Source organism: Homo sapiens, chromosome 13 (assembly GCF_000001405.40).
Source record: "Homo sapiens chromosome 13, GRCh38.p14 Primary Assembly".
In the NCBI taxonomy this organism is placed as follows: domain Eukaryota; kingdom Metazoa; phylum Chordata; class Mammalia; order Primates; family Hominidae; genus Homo; species Homo sapiens.
The window spans coordinates 112,685,855-112,703,455 of record NC_000013.11 but is presented as its reverse complement, the minus strand read 5'-3'; the positions used below and the strand labels follow the sequence as shown (position 1 = coordinate 112,703,455).

At 52.2% G+C, this 17,601-nt stretch overlaps 1 protein-coding gene and 1 long non-coding RNA gene across 15 annotated transcripts in view, besides 5 other annotated features; one reads left to right on the top strand and one right to left on the bottom strand.

Annotated features, from left to right (window-relative positions):
• The window catches only part of ATP11A (ATPase phospholipid transporting 11A), a 197,131-nt gene extending 183,713 nt beyond the window's left edge, over nt 1–13,418 (bottom strand). For 12 of the 13 annotated variants that reach the window (NM_015205.3, XM_011537480.3, NM_001405663.1 and 9 more), the window contains exon 1: nt 13,001–13,418. In NM_015205.3, coding sequence (NP_056020.2) covers nt 13,001–13,039 — 39 coding nt within the window. In that variant the 5' untranslated portion in view covers nt 13,040–13,418. Of the gene's footprint in view, nt 1–113; nt 6,986–13,000 lie in introns of those variants that run through there. The other variant, XM_047430218.1, reaches the window with a different exon arrangement.
• Nucleotides 263–969: an enhancer, noted in NCBI's record as "H3K27ac-H3K4me1 hESC enhancer chr13:113356801-113357507 (GRCh37/hg19 assembly coordinates)". NCBI's record gives its function as "activates a minimal SCP1, AML or CMV promoter by ChIP-STARR-seq in naive H9 embryonic stem cells {active_cell/tissue: H9 hESC(naive)}" and the evidence as "EXISTENCE:reporter gene assay evidence [ECO:0000049][PMID:30033119]".
• Nucleotides 11,264–11,765: an enhancer, noted in NCBI's record as "NANOG hESC enhancer chr13:113346005-113346506 (GRCh37/hg19 assembly coordinates)". NCBI's record gives its function as "activates a minimal SCP1, AML or CMV promoter by ChIP-STARR-seq in naive H9 embryonic stem cells {active_cell/tissue: H9 hESC(naive)}" and the evidence as "EXISTENCE:reporter gene assay evidence [ECO:0000049][PMID:30033119]".
• Nucleotides 12,626–12,865: a silencer, noted in NCBI's record as "silent region_5535". NCBI's record gives its function as "represses an Ori minimal core promoter by ATAC-STARR-seq in GM12878 lymphoblastoid cells {active_cell/tissue: GM12878}" and the evidence as "EXISTENCE:reporter gene assay evidence [ECO:0000049][PMID:35858748]".
• Nucleotides 12,886–13,815: a silencer, noted in NCBI's record as "silent region_5534". NCBI's record gives its function as "represses an Ori minimal core promoter by ATAC-STARR-seq in GM12878 lymphoblastoid cells {active_cell/tissue: GM12878}" and the evidence as "EXISTENCE:reporter gene assay evidence [ECO:0000049][PMID:35858748]".
• Nucleotides 13,641–16,687, top strand: LOC102725228 (uncharacterized). 2 transcript variants are annotated; one of them, NR_187633.1, is made up of 2 exons: nt 13,641–13,793; nt 14,587–16,687. It is a non-coding gene; the product is annotated as an uncharacterized LOC102725228 (long non-coding RNA). The 2 variants fall into 2 exon arrangements; NR_187632.1 differs by having other exon boundaries at nt 13,641–13,811.
• Nucleotides 14,064–14,581: an enhancer, noted in NCBI's record as "NANOG-H3K27ac-H3K4me1 hESC enhancer chr13:113343189-113343706 (GRCh37/hg19 assembly coordinates)". NCBI's record gives its function as "activates a minimal SCP1, AML or CMV promoter by ChIP-STARR-seq in naive and primed H9 embryonic stem cells {active_cell/tissue: H9 hESC(naive and primed)}" and the evidence as "EXISTENCE:reporter gene assay evidence [ECO:0000049][PMID:30033119]".
• Nucleotides 16,688–17,601: the final 914 nt, after the last annotated feature.

Genomic DNA, 17,601 nt, shown 5'->3' with positions numbered 1-17,601 from the left:
GGTCACCAGGACACTGCTGTGGGCTGAACTGTGATCCCCTCAAAAATCTCATATTGAAGCCCTAACCCCTAATGTGATTGGACCTGAAGATTGGGCCTTTACGAGGTACTTACGATTAGATGAGATCATGAGGTCTGTGTCCTAATCAGACAGGATTGGTGTGTGGTTACGAGGAGGAAGAGAGAGAGTTCTCTCCCCGCCTCTGGGAGGACACAGCCTCCTGCCCCCCAGGAGGGCCCCTCACCAGACCTCACCATGCAGACACCCTGATCTGATTTCCAGCCTCAAGAGCTACAAGAAATAAATTTCTATTGCGTAAACCATGCAGCCTGCAGTATTCTGTAACAGCGGCTGAGCTCTCTGAAACACAGGCAGTACCTGTTCAGCTCCACACTAAGATGCTAGGTGCTTACATAACAATAAAACCATTTAAGTTTGTAATCTCAGCAACAAGCATCTCAGAGAATCATGTCGTAAACAATGTATCAGTTTTTCATAATGAAAATTATTCATTCCATAGTCACATTCTCAGCATCTGCTTTCTCAATCATCAAGCCTGTGTGTTAACATGATTCTCATAAACTCACTTTGCTGGTGAGACGCTGGGAAAAAGGCGGAAGACAGCAAGGCCCTGAGACACCGAGGTGGGGGCGCTGCGAGACACGCACACCGCCCGCTCTTCAAGCAAAGCCCTCAGACCCATGCCTCTGGCCGCCTTCCTCTCATGCACACGTGTTAGACAAGTTTAGTTACCGCTTTTGAAACCGAGTGGTCCTGAGAGGGGATAGATATCAGCAGAACGAAGAAAGCCCTGAGAGATGCGCCTGTCTCACAGAGAGAGAAGCCCGGCCAAGGCCACCCAGAGAGACGCACGCACAACACAGCAGACAGAAGGGACAAGAAGCCCGCGGAACACAAGAACCCACCCTGGCACATCGGGCCCGAGGCCTGGCCATCTGAGGGCAGAGGGAGACACCATCACGCACCCCCCGTGTGCACGCCTTCCGAGGCTCTGCTTCCCACTGGAACACGCGGGGGGCGGGGCGGGGGGCCTCCGTGTGGTTGCTACGGTGTCTGTACTTACAGTGGTTTCTTTTTTTTTTTTTTTTTGAGACAGAATCTCACTGTGTTGCCCAGGCTGGAGAGCAAAGGTGCGATCTCGGCTCACTGCAACCTCTGCCTCCTGGGTTCAAGCGCTTCTCCTGCCTCAGCCTCCCGAGTAGGTGGGATTACAGGTGCCCGCCACGATGCCCAGCTAATTTTTGTATTTGTAGTAGAGACAGGATTTCTCCACATTGGCCAGGCTGATCTCGAACTCCTGACCTCAGGTGATCCACCCGCCTCGGCCTCCCAAAGTGCTGGGATTACAGGCTTGACCCATCGCACCAGGCTGTACTTAAGAGTGTTTTTGCACACTCTGTGACAAGAGGAGGAACTGCTACTAGCAACGCCTGTCTCCATCCATCTCCTCAGGCATGTGTGTGCTCATGAACCACCAGCTGGATAACCGCAGGCCCCATCCACAGGATGCCGAGACACAAGCACAGTGCCGGGGGTAACACTGGGAGGAAAAGGGCGACGCGGAACCTACTCACACCTCAGTCCATTGCTGGGGTTATAAATGTGTTGACAGCCTGCTCTGTCGCCCAGGCTGGAGTGCAGTGGCGCGATCTCCTCTCACTGCAAGCTCCGCCTCCCCAGTTCACGCCATTCTCCTGCCTCAGCCTCCCGAGTAGCTGGGACTACAGGCGCCCGCCACCACGCCCAGCTAATTTTTTTGTATTTTTAGGAAAGACGGGGTTTCATCGTGTTAGCCAGGATGGTCTCGATCTCCCGACCTCGTGATCCGCCCGCCTCGGCCTCCCAAAGTGCTGCGATTACAGGCATGAGCCACCGCGCCCGGCCCTGACAGATAATTTTTTATAGGAAAGAAATCAGTGTGCTGAATACCCACTGTGGACCAGATCTTCCTCTGGGCACTTCCTTCAACATCTCTGGGATTCTTGGCATTTCAAAGGTCAGGCGAACTTGGCAAGTTTTCCTTCAAAAGGTAGATTATTCCTGTATTCTATAACCTTTTAATCTTTAAGTCAAAACTAAACACAACTTGACTGCCAAACGCCAGACACTGCCGAGATGCCTGGAAGTTAGTAGCTGTGCCTGAGCCTAACTGATAAGCACGCAGCAACAATACTTAACACACTTGTAACTGCCAGGCAACCTCCCAGAGTTCTCCTCTCCTGGCTGGGATGGGTCGCTGTTGCAGGGGACATGGAGAAATCATGGTAGAAAGGACCGTGGAGACGGCCACAGGCGGACTCGAATTTCTGTGTATTCCACATATTCGGGTGCCACTCCCATTCTCAGGTGGCCGCCGGCCACTCCTGCCCCCCAACGTCCTCCTGAAAGGGCCGCAGCGACCTGGGGTCGGCTGATCCCTCAGCAGCTGAGCCAAGCCCAGCCTCTTCCCCACAGCGCTAACGTGGAAGTCTCACTACTCAGAGATACACAGATAAGTGGGCGAGAGAAGCAGGTCCAAGCCCACGCACGTGGAGATGGATTCAGGGGTAGCGGGGATGCTAGTGAACAACTGCCCTGGATGTGTGACACAGGGACAAGTCCTGAAGCAGCTGGAGGCTCCTCAGGGCGAGGCGGGTGACAAGCAGAACGGGGCACATGGCGGGAGTTGCAGGCCCTGGGTTTGAGACCGCATGTTGGAGTGGCCGTGGAACCTGCTGTCTAAGCTCGGACGCTTCTGCGAGTGAAGGGGACGCTATGGATAATTATTAACGATGTGGGGACAACAGGCACAACCTGGGGCTGAACTGGGCCAGGAGGGCGTTCACTCACCCTTCACAGGGTGCAGACCACGCCGGGGAGAACAAGGTCAGAGTCAGGCATCAAGGCCTGCGCCCACCCACCACCCTCAGCACCCAGTGCCAATGAGACCTGGCTGCCCTGTCACAGGATGGCACAGTGCTCCTTCACAGGGCTGCTGTGAGGATCGAGAGGGGCTGTGGATACAACCCTTGGGGAAGGAAGGACCCAGCCTCCCAGACATGCCGGACGGCAGCCCCTTCTCTCTCTGGAGCAGGACCCGCCTGTCCCAGGCTGCCTCCCGGAGGTGCCCACAGCACGGACCACGGGTGCCTCATGCCAGCCTCTCCTGCCCTTCCCGTATTGGGGGTGGGCACGCTAAGGACAGAGATGCCTTGCCAGGCTGCACGCTCTTCACATCTTTGTTGAACGTGTAATTTCCATCCTTGTCGAATGCATAATTCAACCAATTATGCCTTTGATCAAATCGTTTTTTTCACATGTAACAAACCTTCTCTTTAAAATCTTTTACCTTCCTACCAGGAAAAATGATCTTATTTTCGTTCCCTTTCCAAGCCAAAAAAAAAAAAAAAATTACCTTTGTCACATGAGATGTGACAAAAATTGGCAGCCCTTTCCTGAGATATTTTTACAGCGCTTTACAATGTGTTACATTGAAAAGCGTACGAAAAGTGTAATTTCAGTGTATGAAATTACAAGGTTATTTTCATGTCCATTAATAAAGGTTCATTTGATCCTCACCACCCAGGACAAGAGAGACAGCAAAGGCCATGAGTTTCATTTTACAGCTGCCACTGGAGGCGACATGAATGGCTCAGAGCAGAGCCAGGTGGGACACAGGCTCCCCGGCAGGAGGCTGCACAGGGGCCCAGTGTAGACCATCGTCCAGCCAAAGCACACGCAGACAAGGTGCTGGCAGGCTCGGCCTCCACCAATGACATCATCTGTGAAATGTGCTCCTTCCAACTCAGCAGAAGTAACACGAACAGAAGTTAAAACCCTTCTTGCCCGCAGCAACCTGTCTTTGTTAAAACGTTTGCACATAAAGCACACACACTATACGGTGCAGAGTTCACAACGGACCACCAACCCCAAGCGCAGCCAGCTGATGTCCTTCAACTCTGCAGCCACAGCCGGGGGAAATTTTGATACCAAATGATGTGTGACATAATACCACCTCCCAGGAAAAAGTGACTTATTTTATCGTCTCAACTGCAAACTTCTAATATGCCTTCCAAGAAGTGATCTGGTTCTGAAAGCCACAAAAAATAAAATAAAAACCACAGAAAAATGGGAAACATTTTGCCAAACGGGGTAGAGGGTGGTTACTTAAACACATTCAGAGTAAGAATTTGAAAATATATTCATCTAAGTGGTCTTTATCCTTGAGAATAACTCATCTGAGTTGAGTGGCAGAAAAACTGTAAGGAAAGGCACTTGCAAATAAGTGAAAATATGTCACTAACAAATTTCTGAATGTGAACACAAATCACATTTGAAAGAACGACTTACACAATCTTTATTCATAGAAAAATCAGTTTCTTCCCACTCTACTTTGAAAATGGAGAAGATTTAAAGGATTGGTTTAAAGACCAGGCGCGGTGGCTGACACCTGTAATGCCAGTACTTTGGGAGGCCGAGGCAGATGGATCATTTGAGGTCAGGAGTTCGAGACCAGCCTTGCCAACATAGCAAAACCCTGTCTCTACTAAAAATACAAATTAAAAAATGAGACAGGCGTGGTGGCAGGCGCCTGTAATCCAAGCTACCTGGGAGGCTGAGGCATGAGAATCACTTGAACCCAAGAGGTAGAGGTTGCACTGAGCCGAAATAGCGCCACTGCACCCACTCCAGCCTGGGTGACAGAGTGAGACCTTGTCTCAAAAATAAATAAATAAAGATAAATAAATAAAAGATTGGTTTAAAGAGGCAACTAATGATTAATCTGCCCAAAGGGTTCACACATCAACCCTAGTTACAAAGGTAAAAGGTGGCAGAGAAAGCCTAAAATTCCATCTCTTGACTCCCAGCCTGATGTCCCAGCATCCCTGCATGAGTGAGCCACATCACCCTCTCTCAGGTCGGGCTGCCAGGGCTTCCTTCTCAGGATATGTAATAAGGAGAAAGCTCTCTGGCTCTGCTGCAATTACAGCTGTGGTGAATTACAAACAAACGCACCATGGGACAAAAGCATGCAGCAGCTAAAGCACCATTAGGTAACTCGCAAAAACAACTCAGCAGTTTTCTTTAGGCTCTGCAAGTCTCAACCAAACCAGAAAAGCCTGTGTCCTCCTTGGGACCGGGTGGGGTGGTCTCAGGCTTCGACGCAGCAGTGATGGGCCCAGCAACTCAGGCCAGTGGAGAGCACCGACCCTCCCCAAGTGGCCATCGCTCCAGCAGAAGCGGTCCTCGGGAAACCAGCAGGCCAGGAGTCACGAGACTTCCAAAAAAGTGGGGAAATGTGGGGATGTATGTGCCGTCCTCTGTGTTCAAATGTCAGCAAGAAGTTCAAATTGTATCGAGGCTGCTGAGTGCGCCCGTGCAGCCACATCAGAGGAGCCTGCCTGTCCCAGCACAGGAGTCTTAACTTTAGCAGGGGCAGGGGCTCCCTTGAGAATCTAACAAAATTGGGAAATGCCTGCCTGGAAAGCAAAGGTCCTGCATGCCAGAGGTTGGCATGTTGTTTCCAGGGATCAGAGTCTAGTTCTTAGGAACTCATCGTTTTAAAATGAAAGTAGTTTCAGGGCTGGGCGTGGTGGCACATACCTGCAATCCCAGCACTTTGGGAAGCAGAGGTGGGCGGATCATCTGAGGTCAGGAGTTCGAGACCAGCCTGGCCAATATGGTGAAACCCCATCTCTACTAAAAAAAAAAAAAAAAAAAAAAAAAACTGGCCGGGCGTCGTGGCACAAATCCCAGCTACTCAGGAGTCTGAGGCAAGAGAACTGCTTGCACCTAGGAGGCAGAGGATGCAGTGAGCCAAGATCAAGCCACTGCACTCCAGCCTGAGCAACACAGTGAGACTCTGTCTCAAAAATAAAAAATAAAAATAAAATAAAGAGTTTTAAAACTATGAGGAGGCCCTCGGAACTCTGGCTCTGGACACCAGGCTCTGGGGACAGGGCACTGCGGCTGCTCTCCCTGAATTCCCTTCCGAATTGCCAATGGCAACCTCTTCATCACTCTGATTAACACTAATGACCTGGGGTCTCGGTGTTGGCCCAGCAGCTGTTTTCTGCGTGGCTTTTCTGTGCCAGGAACGTTCTAGGCACACGGGTGACACTGGAACACGGAAATGAACACGGCTGGGTGGCGTGTAGCAGGCAGTGGACGCCTCTTCCTGGGACAAGGATGTTGATGGAGAGGGAAGAAAGGCCACTAGGAGCCCACCGTGGCCCTGGGGAAGGCAGAGGCCAGCACCGGAGCCCACCGAGGGGCGGCCAGCCCGCAGGACGCCACAGGAAGCAGCCCACGGAAGGCCCCAGGGCTCCCAGAGGCTGCTGCGTGGGCCGCCCCTCAGGCTGGACACGCAGGCACCCACCTGGCCAGGCCCTCACCTCGTCCACCCCGCCACCCACTGCGCGCAAGCACTGCGCCCCACGCATCCTCCACCCGCCTCGCCCACCCGCCAGCCTGCGCACGCACTGCCCCCAACCCCACTCTCTTTTTCTCAGCACCGTCGCCTGCGGGGCACCCCAACACTCACTGTGGTGGTTTCCTGTTCGCCTCCCCCATTCCAAGGGGGCCCCAGAGGGATGGGACTTGGGTCTCTGTCCTTCCCGGCTCACTGGCGTGTCTCTGAGCACACAGGGGCGCTCGCTAACTGCAGCTGGGATCACAAAAGCCCCACGGAGTCGCTGAGGTGGAGGGCAAGGGCAGAGAGGGGCCCGAGGGAGGTGGGCCTGGGGGTGATGGAGACCTTGGTAAGGGAACCCCCCGCGGTAGGCACAGAAGAGACAGGAGAAGGAAGGACGGGCCAGCTACGCGGGGTAACCTAAGAAAAACGGTAGCTGGAAGCCAAAAATGAGCACGGTGACCGCTGGGAAATATGGGGTCTAAAGCGGTGCCAACAGCGGGACGGCAAGCAGCAGGGCAGACAGTGTCACTCAGAGAGGGAGAGAGACGGGGCCGCAGCACACACGGGACTGGACTTCGGCAGAACGGGTCACTCGCTCCAACCGGAGGAGGCAAGCGCAGAGGCAGAAAGGCTGCTGGGCGTGGCAGGGGCGTTCCCACCAGTGACCACCGCTCTCCCCGGGAGAGCAGGGCAAGGTCACCCACTCTCCACGTGAAGAGGAGTGCGGGGAGAAGGTTCCGGAAAGCCCAAGGTGAGAGGCGGTCTCCTTAAGAAGCCCAGAAGCATGGACGGTGATGCAGCCGCAGGTCCATGCGCGCAACAAAGACGCCCCGTGCACTGGGCACCCAGCGTGCACGAGCGCCGTGACCTGTCCCGTCACTGCACAGACCCACCAGGTGGGCACCATCATAGTCCCCACCTTGCAGATGGGGCACCAAGCGTACAGGGGGCAACCAACTTGCCAAGGCCACGCAGCCGTCAGCCGAGACGGAACTTGAATGTGGGTCTGTCAGACTCCGACGCCTAACCTCGGCACCTCTGGGATGTACCATTTTGTTCTTCTCAGATAATAATATCCAAGTGAAAGAGAAAATCATCCCTTATCTGATCTTCTTGAATTTCTACTCTGTAAAACTTGCTTGCTATTGATTTTTATTGCAAATAAATAGCATTTTTACCAGCATTTAACTTGGTTAAAAAAACATTGATAAGTCTGGGACTTGAGAATCTTTTATTAACCCTGTTTCTATTGAACATATGCTCCAAGCACCAGAGAACAATTTGTATTTTGGGTTTTAGGGTTTAATACATCTGTAAATAGAGGATTTCATGTGTAGTTAAGCAACTATGTATTTTTATTCATGGATTCAACACAGTTTTAACTAATTGTAAACTGAAGACAGTGTTCTTATCCCTAGAAATTTAGCTGACTATAGCCAAACCTAATAATACAAACTTTTTTCCCTCTAGGTTATTAAATTCACTCCCTGGCAAGAAATAAAAGCACCTCAAGATGCTTGTTCCTAATAAGCAGATATTCAACAGGGTTCCAAAAAGCAATGGAAATGATTCAACCTTTGTGTAGACACAAAGGTGAAATTATGCATCTGGGCAGACTGCTTTAGAATGTCCAGGTGGAAGACACGAGGCCCTGAAGACAAGAAGGGTGCTTGGTGAATTCGTGTGATGAGCTGCCTGGTTAAACATTTGTTCATTATGAACACTTTACGAGTCTGTACTGCAGGCTTGCCACCACACTGCTGGAGACAGATTATTAGTCTTGGATTCTATGCCTCAGGATTCACTTATTTCAAATACCTGAAGACCTTGGCAGCTAAAGCAGCTTAACTTAGTGCTCCTGTGGTGTAGACTCCAGCAGCTGAACAACAGCAAGGTCCCACTGGATCGTCTAATCCTGGATTAGGAAAAGAAACTCCAAAATTATGTGGCATTTCTAAAATTTTAAAACAGGGGCTGGCATAACTGAGTTAAATAAATAAGTCTGTCTTTCAGAAGGGGCAACCTCACAGTTGAACACTGATGTTCACATTATACACCATTCGGTAATAAATAAAAGAAGCAGATATGTATGCATGCATATAAATAGCTGGACTTTCTAGAAGGTTTAACACACTCTAATATAGCACTGCTTCAAGTTCTCGGGAAGCAAAAATGTTTATTTTTCTCTTAGAAAAAAACTTATAACAGTTTGTGTTGAAAGTAATTATCTACTGTCAGCAAGGAAATCCTTCAGATCCTTCAATGTTTTCTATCTTAGAATGTTAAGAAGCAAGAATGGTAAGGTAGAAACAAGCAGAAGCTCTGACAGGCAAAAGAACAAAACTAACAAGGAATATCTGGGCTGAATCATTGAAAGAAGATTATAGGACCATAACAAGACTGAGTTCTTGACCCACAGAACTCTGAAGAAAAATCAAATGCCCTACATAGAGGCATGGAAGGGAAGAGGGAGGGAAGCATCCTGCCCACGCCGGGATGCTCAGCCTTACAGAGATCAAGGGCTGTTTTACCACAGCGTGTAAAGCTTTCTGAATCCTACCTGAGCTCCACACCATGCTCAGTGTCAGGGTGCCCGGTTTACCTCTCCTGTGACCCACGACGCCAGCAGGCCGGGACCCACAGGTAGCTGAGCAGCAGCACTGGCAGCCCATAGGTTTGCTCTCTCCCCAGCCAACCCTACCCAGGGACTCAGCTATGTTAACAGCCAGGCATGACAAACGGACTGAGAGCTTCCCCATTCTTGGCTCTCCACCCAGATTACCTCATTCAACCCTCACAATAGCTATGAAATGAGTACTGCTCTTACCCTCAGAGGAGAAAACTGAGGCAGAAGGAATTAAGCCACTTGCCCAAGGCCACATGGCTAAGAAGGGCAGGGAGGCTCCCACTCAGCATTCAGGCCACTGCCCAGAGAGTATCTAAGAAAAGTATCTAAGCTACCCGCTGAGGCTGCCCTGGTTCCTCTCGGAACTTAAACTACCTGAATCGGTGTTGCTCACCTTACAGCTCTGAAGAGGAAATGGAACTCGCTCTCCATCCATGCTGTTAAAAATACTCTTATTTATTTTGAGACGAGTTTCGCTCTTGTTGCCCAGGCTGGAGTGCAATGGTGCGATCTCAGCTCACTGCAACCTCCGCCTTCTGTGCTCAAGCAATTCTCCTGCCTCAGCCTTCTGAGTAGCTGGGATTACAGGCACCCGCCACCATGCCCGGCTAATTTTTGTATTTTTAGTAGAGACAGGGTTTCACCATGTTGGCCAGGTTGGTCTTGAACTCCTGATGTCAGGCGATCCACCCACCTCGGCCTCCCAAAGTGCTGGGATTACAGGCATGAGCCACCGCGCCTGGCCTAGAAGTGCTTTTAAAGTGTTACGTCATGGAGGTCAAACTACCTCATGGCACATGCACTACCCCATGGCTCATATGCTACCCCATAGCACATACACTACTCCACAACACATACGCCAGTCCACGGCACACACGCTACCCCATGGCTCCCACAGCACATACACCACCCCACGGCACACACACTCTCCACCCCGTCCCCTCTCCCCGTACCCACAGCTCATACATCACCCCAGAGAGCATACACCACCTCACGCCCCCGACAGCACATACATCACCCTAGGGAGCATACACTACCCCACAGCACATACACTACCCCACGGCACACACGCTTTTCCCCACGCCCCCCAGAGCACATACATCACCCCAGGGAGCATACACTACCCCATAAGCACAAGCACTCCTCATGGTATACAAACACGGCACCATTTACAAATACAAAGTATCTCTGCATGGCTCCGGTCCATCCAAACACCCAAACCACCAGTAACACACAGTGTGGAGTACCTGGCTACCCTGGCCTAACCTTCATCTGTTCTCTCACTCATTTGCCTCTGCTATCTCTCCAGGGTTAATCCACAATAAAATGCCTACAGCAATGTTTTCCAAGGACTTCTTTATCTTTTAGCCACCCTCACACATCAGAAGGAGCTGGAAAGCTTTCTTTGTCCCAGGAATTCTGACTATGTGAACACCAAGAAGGAACAGGGTCTATTTATCTATCCTTTTTAATAAAGTAAGTCACATAAGGAAACCATGAGGAAATATGAGTATTCAATCCCAGACTCTTTTTTCTGTAGCAAAAGGAAATATAATTTAGTCCTACATAGTGGACGATAACGCAATTACAAGAAAACAGATCATGACTGTTTCTGGAAAAAGTCAAATTAGTTTAATACCATAGACATGAACTTAAAATGATAGAGATGAATGGCTCTGTGTGTAAATATGGGTGAGGTAGCCAGATGAATACACTGCAAAAAACACAGGTGGAATGAGAAAAACAGAAATAATATTATCCCACAACTCGTATTCCCGAGACGTTATCCAATAATGTATATGCTGGAAAAGTTCACTAAAGAATATTTACCGCTTAGATTAAAAGAAAATGTGATGCCATAAGCGTAATAATACAGCAAAGGGGAATTAAAAATGCAAGCTACGCAAACACTTATATAGATCTATATAACAGAAAACAGCTGAAGGCCTGGAGAAAGGGAGTCAAGCATCAAAATTGGACGTCTGTCTGTCCCCCTCCCAAGATGAAGGGGTCAGAAACCGGCTGGGAAGGGGGGATTCTCCAAAGGGTGAGCCGGGCTGGCCCATCCATCTCTCATTTCTATGGAAAGAGGCTGCACATTAGCCCCACAACGTGACCCTCCTTTTTAACACTGAGTGTTAGAAGGGAACGGAATGAACTGGGAACACCGCGGGCAAAGTGAGTGTTAGTCCCTTCCCTCTTCCATTTCGCTCGAAGGAAACAAAGCAGGAAAATAAGGTGTCTAGGGACCCACACTTCTGAGCGACACAACTGAGAACAGAAGCTTCCGCCCAATAAAGCATTTCTCTTACACTGCAGGTTACCTATAGTCACTGTGATTGGGTCTTCTATAACGTTACCACAGTGAAACACAGGTTTACCACTCACATTAGGATTTGAACTGGGGGCTCGAGCACCAGTGAGGGAGTAACACAAGGCTCCTGGAGCCAAGCCTTTCAAGATCTAGCATCGGAATCATCAGAATCACCAGGGGTGAGTTCTCTCCACTTAAGTAAGTCAGGCTGACCTTCCTAAGGCTTCCCCGAGATCAGGAAACGATGTAAGGTGCACTCAAGTCTCCTTGACTCTCCGAGGTTTTTGGTTAATAAATAAATCCGGGGGAAAGCATTGATCTGGCATCCCCCACTGAAAAGAAACCTATCTATCTTTGGCCAAGGTCTCCTATTTAAAGAAGGCTCATAAATATGAAAGGCTGCCTGAGGTAATTCCTATGCCGGGAAAGAACAAAGTTCCCATAATACTGCCCTCTCTAGTATCAAACCCGGTGCATGCGACTTCTCGAACCTGTGATTGACCAGTGACCGCCAGCCTCTATGGAACAATGAAGCCTCTTGTGCAAGACAGTGGCAGGAAACGCTGTGCTTGGGACAGTTTTCTTCCTCTCCTACACACACACACACACACACACACCCTTTTTTTTTTTTTTTTTTGATACAGAGTCTCGCTCTGTCACCCAGGTTGGAGTGCAGTGGCTCGATCTCGGCTCATTGCAACCACCGCCTCCCGGGTTCAAGCGATTCTCCTGCCTCAGCCTCCTGAGTAGCTGGGATCCCAGGCGCCTACCACCACGCCCGGCTAATTTTCGTATTTTTTAGCAGAGACGGGGTTTCACCATGTCGGTCCGGCTGGTCTCAAACTCCTGACCTCGTGATCCGCCCGCCTCGGCCTCCAAAAGTGCTGGGATTACAGGCGTGAGCCACCGCGCCCGGCCACACACCCCTTTTTACACCTAACGCCAGGGATTCCGGTTTCCCCTCCTCTGGTGTAAAACAAAATCAACTTTTCCCCTTCCGAGTCTTCCCTCCTGAGCTCTTCACTTGCTTATCACTGAAGGGGCAAATTCCAGAGGAACCCAAGAAGACCCCGGACTTCTGATCTAATTGGTTACTTTAAGGTAAAAAATAAAAAGATTCCAAACTCCGCTTCTGAATCCCCCAGGGGTGTTAAAGAACAAACACAATTGCTACCTTTTTCTGCAGAAGTGTAACGCTTCCTCCCAATCCCTTAATCTTACAGACACGGCTGCGCGGAAGCCGCATCTGAAGGTTCCTCCCCAGACCCGGGCCCCGGCGGGGTCGAAGTTGGCTCCCTCCGGGCGCCCGGTCCGCCGGGACAGCTCGAACCCCAGCCAGCCTCTCCGAGGGACCCCCAGGGCGCTGCGGGCGGGAAGGGGGCGCCAGGCGGCCGCGGCCAGGGAGCAGGTGGCCGCCCGGGGCTGGGGCCCCGCGCTGTGCCCACCTAGACCCCGTCGGAAGCCCCAGGGTGTCAACTCCGAGGCCCCTCCCCAGCATCCCGCTCGTCCCCGGGGGCGGTCCGAGTCCCAGACATCGGAGACCTCCCGGGACCCCGGGGCTGGACCGGCCACAGGGTCCGGGCTGCGGGGCCGGCCCGCGTCTGTCTGGTCCCCGGGTCCCCCAGCCCGCGCCGGGAGCACTCACGTATCTGTGCACGAGCGTCCGCACGAGGCTGCAGTCCATGGCTCCTCCGGCCGCTCCCGCTCCGCCGTTCAGCGCCCCCGCGCCCGGCTCGGCGCGCCCATGGGCTCCGGGGTACTAGTGCGGCCGCGCCCCCCGCTCCGGTCACGGCCTCGGCGCGCCGGGCGGTGCAGGGGGCGGCCGCGGCCCCTCCGCGCTCATGCCCGGCCCGGCCGGCGAATGCTGGGTCCGCGGCCCCGCGCGTCGGCAGCTGCTCCACTGGCGGCAAGGCTGCTGCTCGGGGCCGCGCGCGCGCGCTCTGGCGCCTTCTCTCTCCCCGTCGGTCCGCCCGCTCGGTTGGGCTCGGCTGGAGCACCCCGGCCGCGGCGGAGCCTGCGCTCTGCTCCTCCCGAGTCTCCTCCTCCCCTGCCCGCCGCCCTCTGGAGCCTCCGGGCCCCGCTGGCTCCTGCCCCTGCTCCGGGCGCGCACGTCACCGGCGCAAGTGAGCATGCGCCCCGCGGCCGCAGCCCCCGCCGGCCCCGCGCCCACACCCGCGCTCGCACCCGCGCGCCGGCCCTGCCCCCTCGCGCCTCCGCCCGGGCCCCAGACCCTGGGGGCAGAGGGCAGAGGGCAGAGGTCAGAGGCCGCGGGGAGGAACCCCCCTGTTGCTTCCGCCTCCCGGGGCGCAGGCGCTGGGCGCGGCGGGGAAGGGACTCGGCACTGGGGAAACCCGGAGTTTCAGCCAGGGTCCCAGGGCTTCCTTCCCGGGTTCCTGCCGGAAAACTTTTCTCCTCCGCCCGGAAGCCTCGATGGGGCAGTGAGATCGCGGGGCGAGGTGGGAGTGTGGGAGGGGGCCGCGGGCAGAGAGCGGGAGTCCGGCTGGGTGGGAGATCTCCTGAGCCGAAGCTGGGTCTCGCCCCAGCGTGGCGCCACCGACCCGCAGGCTTTTCCTGCTCTGCAGATGGAGAGACACAGGGACGCTCCTCAGGTGGCTGCCCTGGGCTGCCAGCCTGTCAGTGGGAGGGGAGGGTGCAGACAAGAGGCCCCTGTTTCCGAAACCCCTCTGTCCCCAAAGCTGCGACAGCAGAAGACACTTAGGCGGCCTGAGGGGTTGGTGAACCACAGAGGAGCTCAGCTTCGCCTGGTCTCCAGCTCCCGGTGGCGGTGGCGTGTCCTTAATGCTGCTGGCTTTGAACTGGACTGAGAACTATTTACCACACAAACACCACCATTTCAATCCCGGAGAATGCCTGTTTTCCCTAGGGTGACCTGGCCGGGGTAACAAACACTTGTTCTCTAATTCCACGGTCAGCCTTGACTTAATTGAGGTACTTGATTTCCAACTTCCTGTCTTGCTGCCACAGATAATCACTGATGAAACCAAACAGGCAACACCTTTTGGTGGCCTGTGGAGAGCGCTGCCCCGTCTGGGTCTTAGGAAGGCAATTGAATATGAATGTTCTCCCGAGTGCTTGTGGAAAAGAGATGGTGTTGGCCACTTTTTAGACGAAGAGAAATGAGTACTAGTGAACACTAATCATAGTGACTAAACAGTAAACGGCTCCCATTTGTTGTCGGCTAAAGCACTGATTCTTCATTTTCCATCCCAGCCTGTCCTGCTCTGGCCTGCCCTGTGCTCAGGAAGCTGGCGGTCCCCCTCAGTGGATCTTCACCCACAGGGACAACCTGCTGCAGACCGGGTAGGAGGGAGGCAGGGGCCTCTTCCCCTCTCCTTCCTGGCCTGGCCCCACACCCACCAGTGTTGGTTTCACTCTGTGGCTACGATTCTTCCTGGGTGCCCTTTCCATTGCACAACTCCTCTAGGCTCTACGAACAGAACTTCTCCCCGCCCCCAAGCCTCTTAGGGTGAGACATGTTGTCGGTCTGCCATTGTTGCTGGTCCCTAAATAGCAGCACCCTTTGAAGGATCCTTGAACCATGACCACACCGCAACAAAGAGTCCTTCATCAAACTCGCTTCCAAATCCCCTCCCAAGAACACCTTCAGTTTCCTGCAAGAACCCTGACTGCTGAAGCCGGATTTTGACTAAGCTTCTACCTTGTAAACCGTGACTGTGGGATTGGGGTCGAGGCGCAATCAGAGGTTGTATAAGGCACTAGATCAAGGCTGCCTGTCTGTCAGGAGTGTCTGCTTTATTCAGTAGTAAATGTGAATTGTTTTTCATTCTGTTGTGAATACTGTTGGTTGACAATGCAGCAGCCATGCCCTCTCTATCCTTGCTGGTTCAGGTATCCACTCTGTGTGGCTAAGGGTAAACTCTGTCTCTTGAGAAAATCTTGGTAACTCCATTTCTCTTTCCAACAATTGGCTTCAAACAAGCTCAAGTCAATGAGTCCCAACAGGAAGCCTGCTGGGGGTTGTCTGGCAAAGGTTTTCTCACTCCTACAGGAACATAAAGAGGAAATGCTCCTTTTTCCCTGGTGAATGTTGCATTCCCTGTCTGGATGCAATGCCTGGTGCTCCGCAGCCCTTTGCACTTATAAGAGAAGGTGGCCGGAAGAGCATCTTCACCCTGGGGTGGCCGCCTGGGAAGATGAGAAGAGCAGGAGTCCTTGGTGGCACAACCAGGCAATTCACCAAAATCCTGCTGCCCTCACCTGGAATTTCCTGCTATGAGAGACGTCTCCGTTTAAACCACATGAGCTGGATTTTCTGTTTCTAACACATGTCAGCATCTTCACGGTAAATCTAAGAAAAAAAAATCAGGGCTATTAAAAAACAAAGTCCAACTCACCCTGTGCTATGGTCTGAAGGTGTCCTCCCAAATTCACACGTGGAAACCTAATCCCAAATACCTGATACCTAATCCCAAATATTAAGAGGTGGGGGCCTTGGGAGGTGGTTAGGAATGGGATTAGTGCCCTTTAAAACTGAGGTTTTTGGGAGCCTGCTTGCCCTTTCTGCCATATGAAGATGCTTAGAAGAGGCCTTCTATGAAGCAGAGAACTTTTCTCAGATGCCAGATCTGCTGGGACCTTGATCTTGGATTTCTCAGCCTTCAGAACTGTGGGAAGCAAACTTCTGTGTGTATGAATAGCCATCTAAAGGATTTTGTTACAGCAGCCTGAGCAGACTAAGACACCCTGTGAGTCAGTTATTTTTGGCTGTGTCACGAGTGACCGCGAGTGCAGGAGCTGAAACGGCAGTGAGTGGGTTACCATTTCTCAGGACCCTGCGGAATTGGTGCGATGGTGCTTCTGCTCCACCTGTTGTTGGCTGGGATTGTCCTGCAGCTGCATTCTTCTGGGGGTCAGCTGGGGCTGGAAGCTTCCTGTGGTCTAGTCACACAGCTGGGGTCTCAGCTAGGGTGATAGAACACTGGGGGCAGGCCGGCCTTGCTGTCTCTCTCTGGCTTCTCATCATTCAGTGGTCTAGCCTGAGTTTTTTACATGGCAGCTCAGGAGGGTCAATGTGGACGCTATACAGCCTGTAAGGCCCGGGTTTGGAAGTCCAAGAATATGACTTCTACCATGTTCTACTGGTGAATATAAATTCCAAGGCCAGCCTAGATTCAAGGGATAAGAACGTAGATTTCACTCCTTGATGGGAGGATCCCATGTACAGACAGGGATCCTTATGAGGGATTATGAGAACTCCTAATCCTTATGAGGGATTATCATACAGAGAATTTATGGGGGATTATCTTTGGAAATAATCTACCATAGACTGAATAAATGATAATGTAATGTGTTGGTGCCCCTCCCAGTGCATTCAAAAGTGAAACGACTGCCAGAACTCCAGGGCCTGCAAGTTTCTTCCTTCACATCTAAGCAGAAGGAGAGACTTCACAGTGACGTGCCAGCTAAGTCACGTGCCCACTCCTGCCCAGTCTGTCACGCAAGTAGCAGAGTCCCTGAGATGATTGGCTTAGGCCCGAGGTCAGTGCACATCACCAAACTAGTAAGTGTCCAAGGGGAATGAAATTGTCTTCGCCTCAAATAACCAGGACCTACCCCTGACCCACTGCGAGCACAGCTGCTTCACAGTGCTGGAGGGATGGGATGAATGAGGAGGAGGCAACAGCTAGGAGGCCAACCCCAAGACTTGAAATTGTGGGTTTGCAAATGGGTGCTTCAGGTGACACCCTGGCCACACCCTCACCTACACACAGACTCATAAACACCTATCCTGCATTCCTCCCTCCACCTTTCTTTCCAAAGAAATCTTGGATTCATTGGCCCCTAAGTGAAAAAAACTGGGGGGAAATAAGGGAGTGGGGGCAAAAAAATGAGGTCTTCCTGCAAAGACAGTTCAGAAGAATTGTTGCACCGAGACCTGAAATGACAAACCCAAAGCCAGAGCCAACTGCTGTAGACACAGAACCAGGAAGTGTGAATTATTAATGAGTGTCATTTTGGTGCTAGAAAGAGCTATTACCTGAGGGTGGTGACTCAAGCTGGGCCTCCGAGGGCAAACAGCCTTGCTCCTCCAAGTTACTGGCCCATGCTGTGCACACGTGTCTTCAGTCGCTATCCCCACAGGTCCAGAATTACCTAGGTGACCATCTCCCCAGGGATTGGTCCTAAAGTTCTTTTTTTTTTTTTTTTTTTTCCTTTGAGACAGGGTCTTGCTCCGTCTCCCAGGCTGGAGTGCAATGGTGTGAT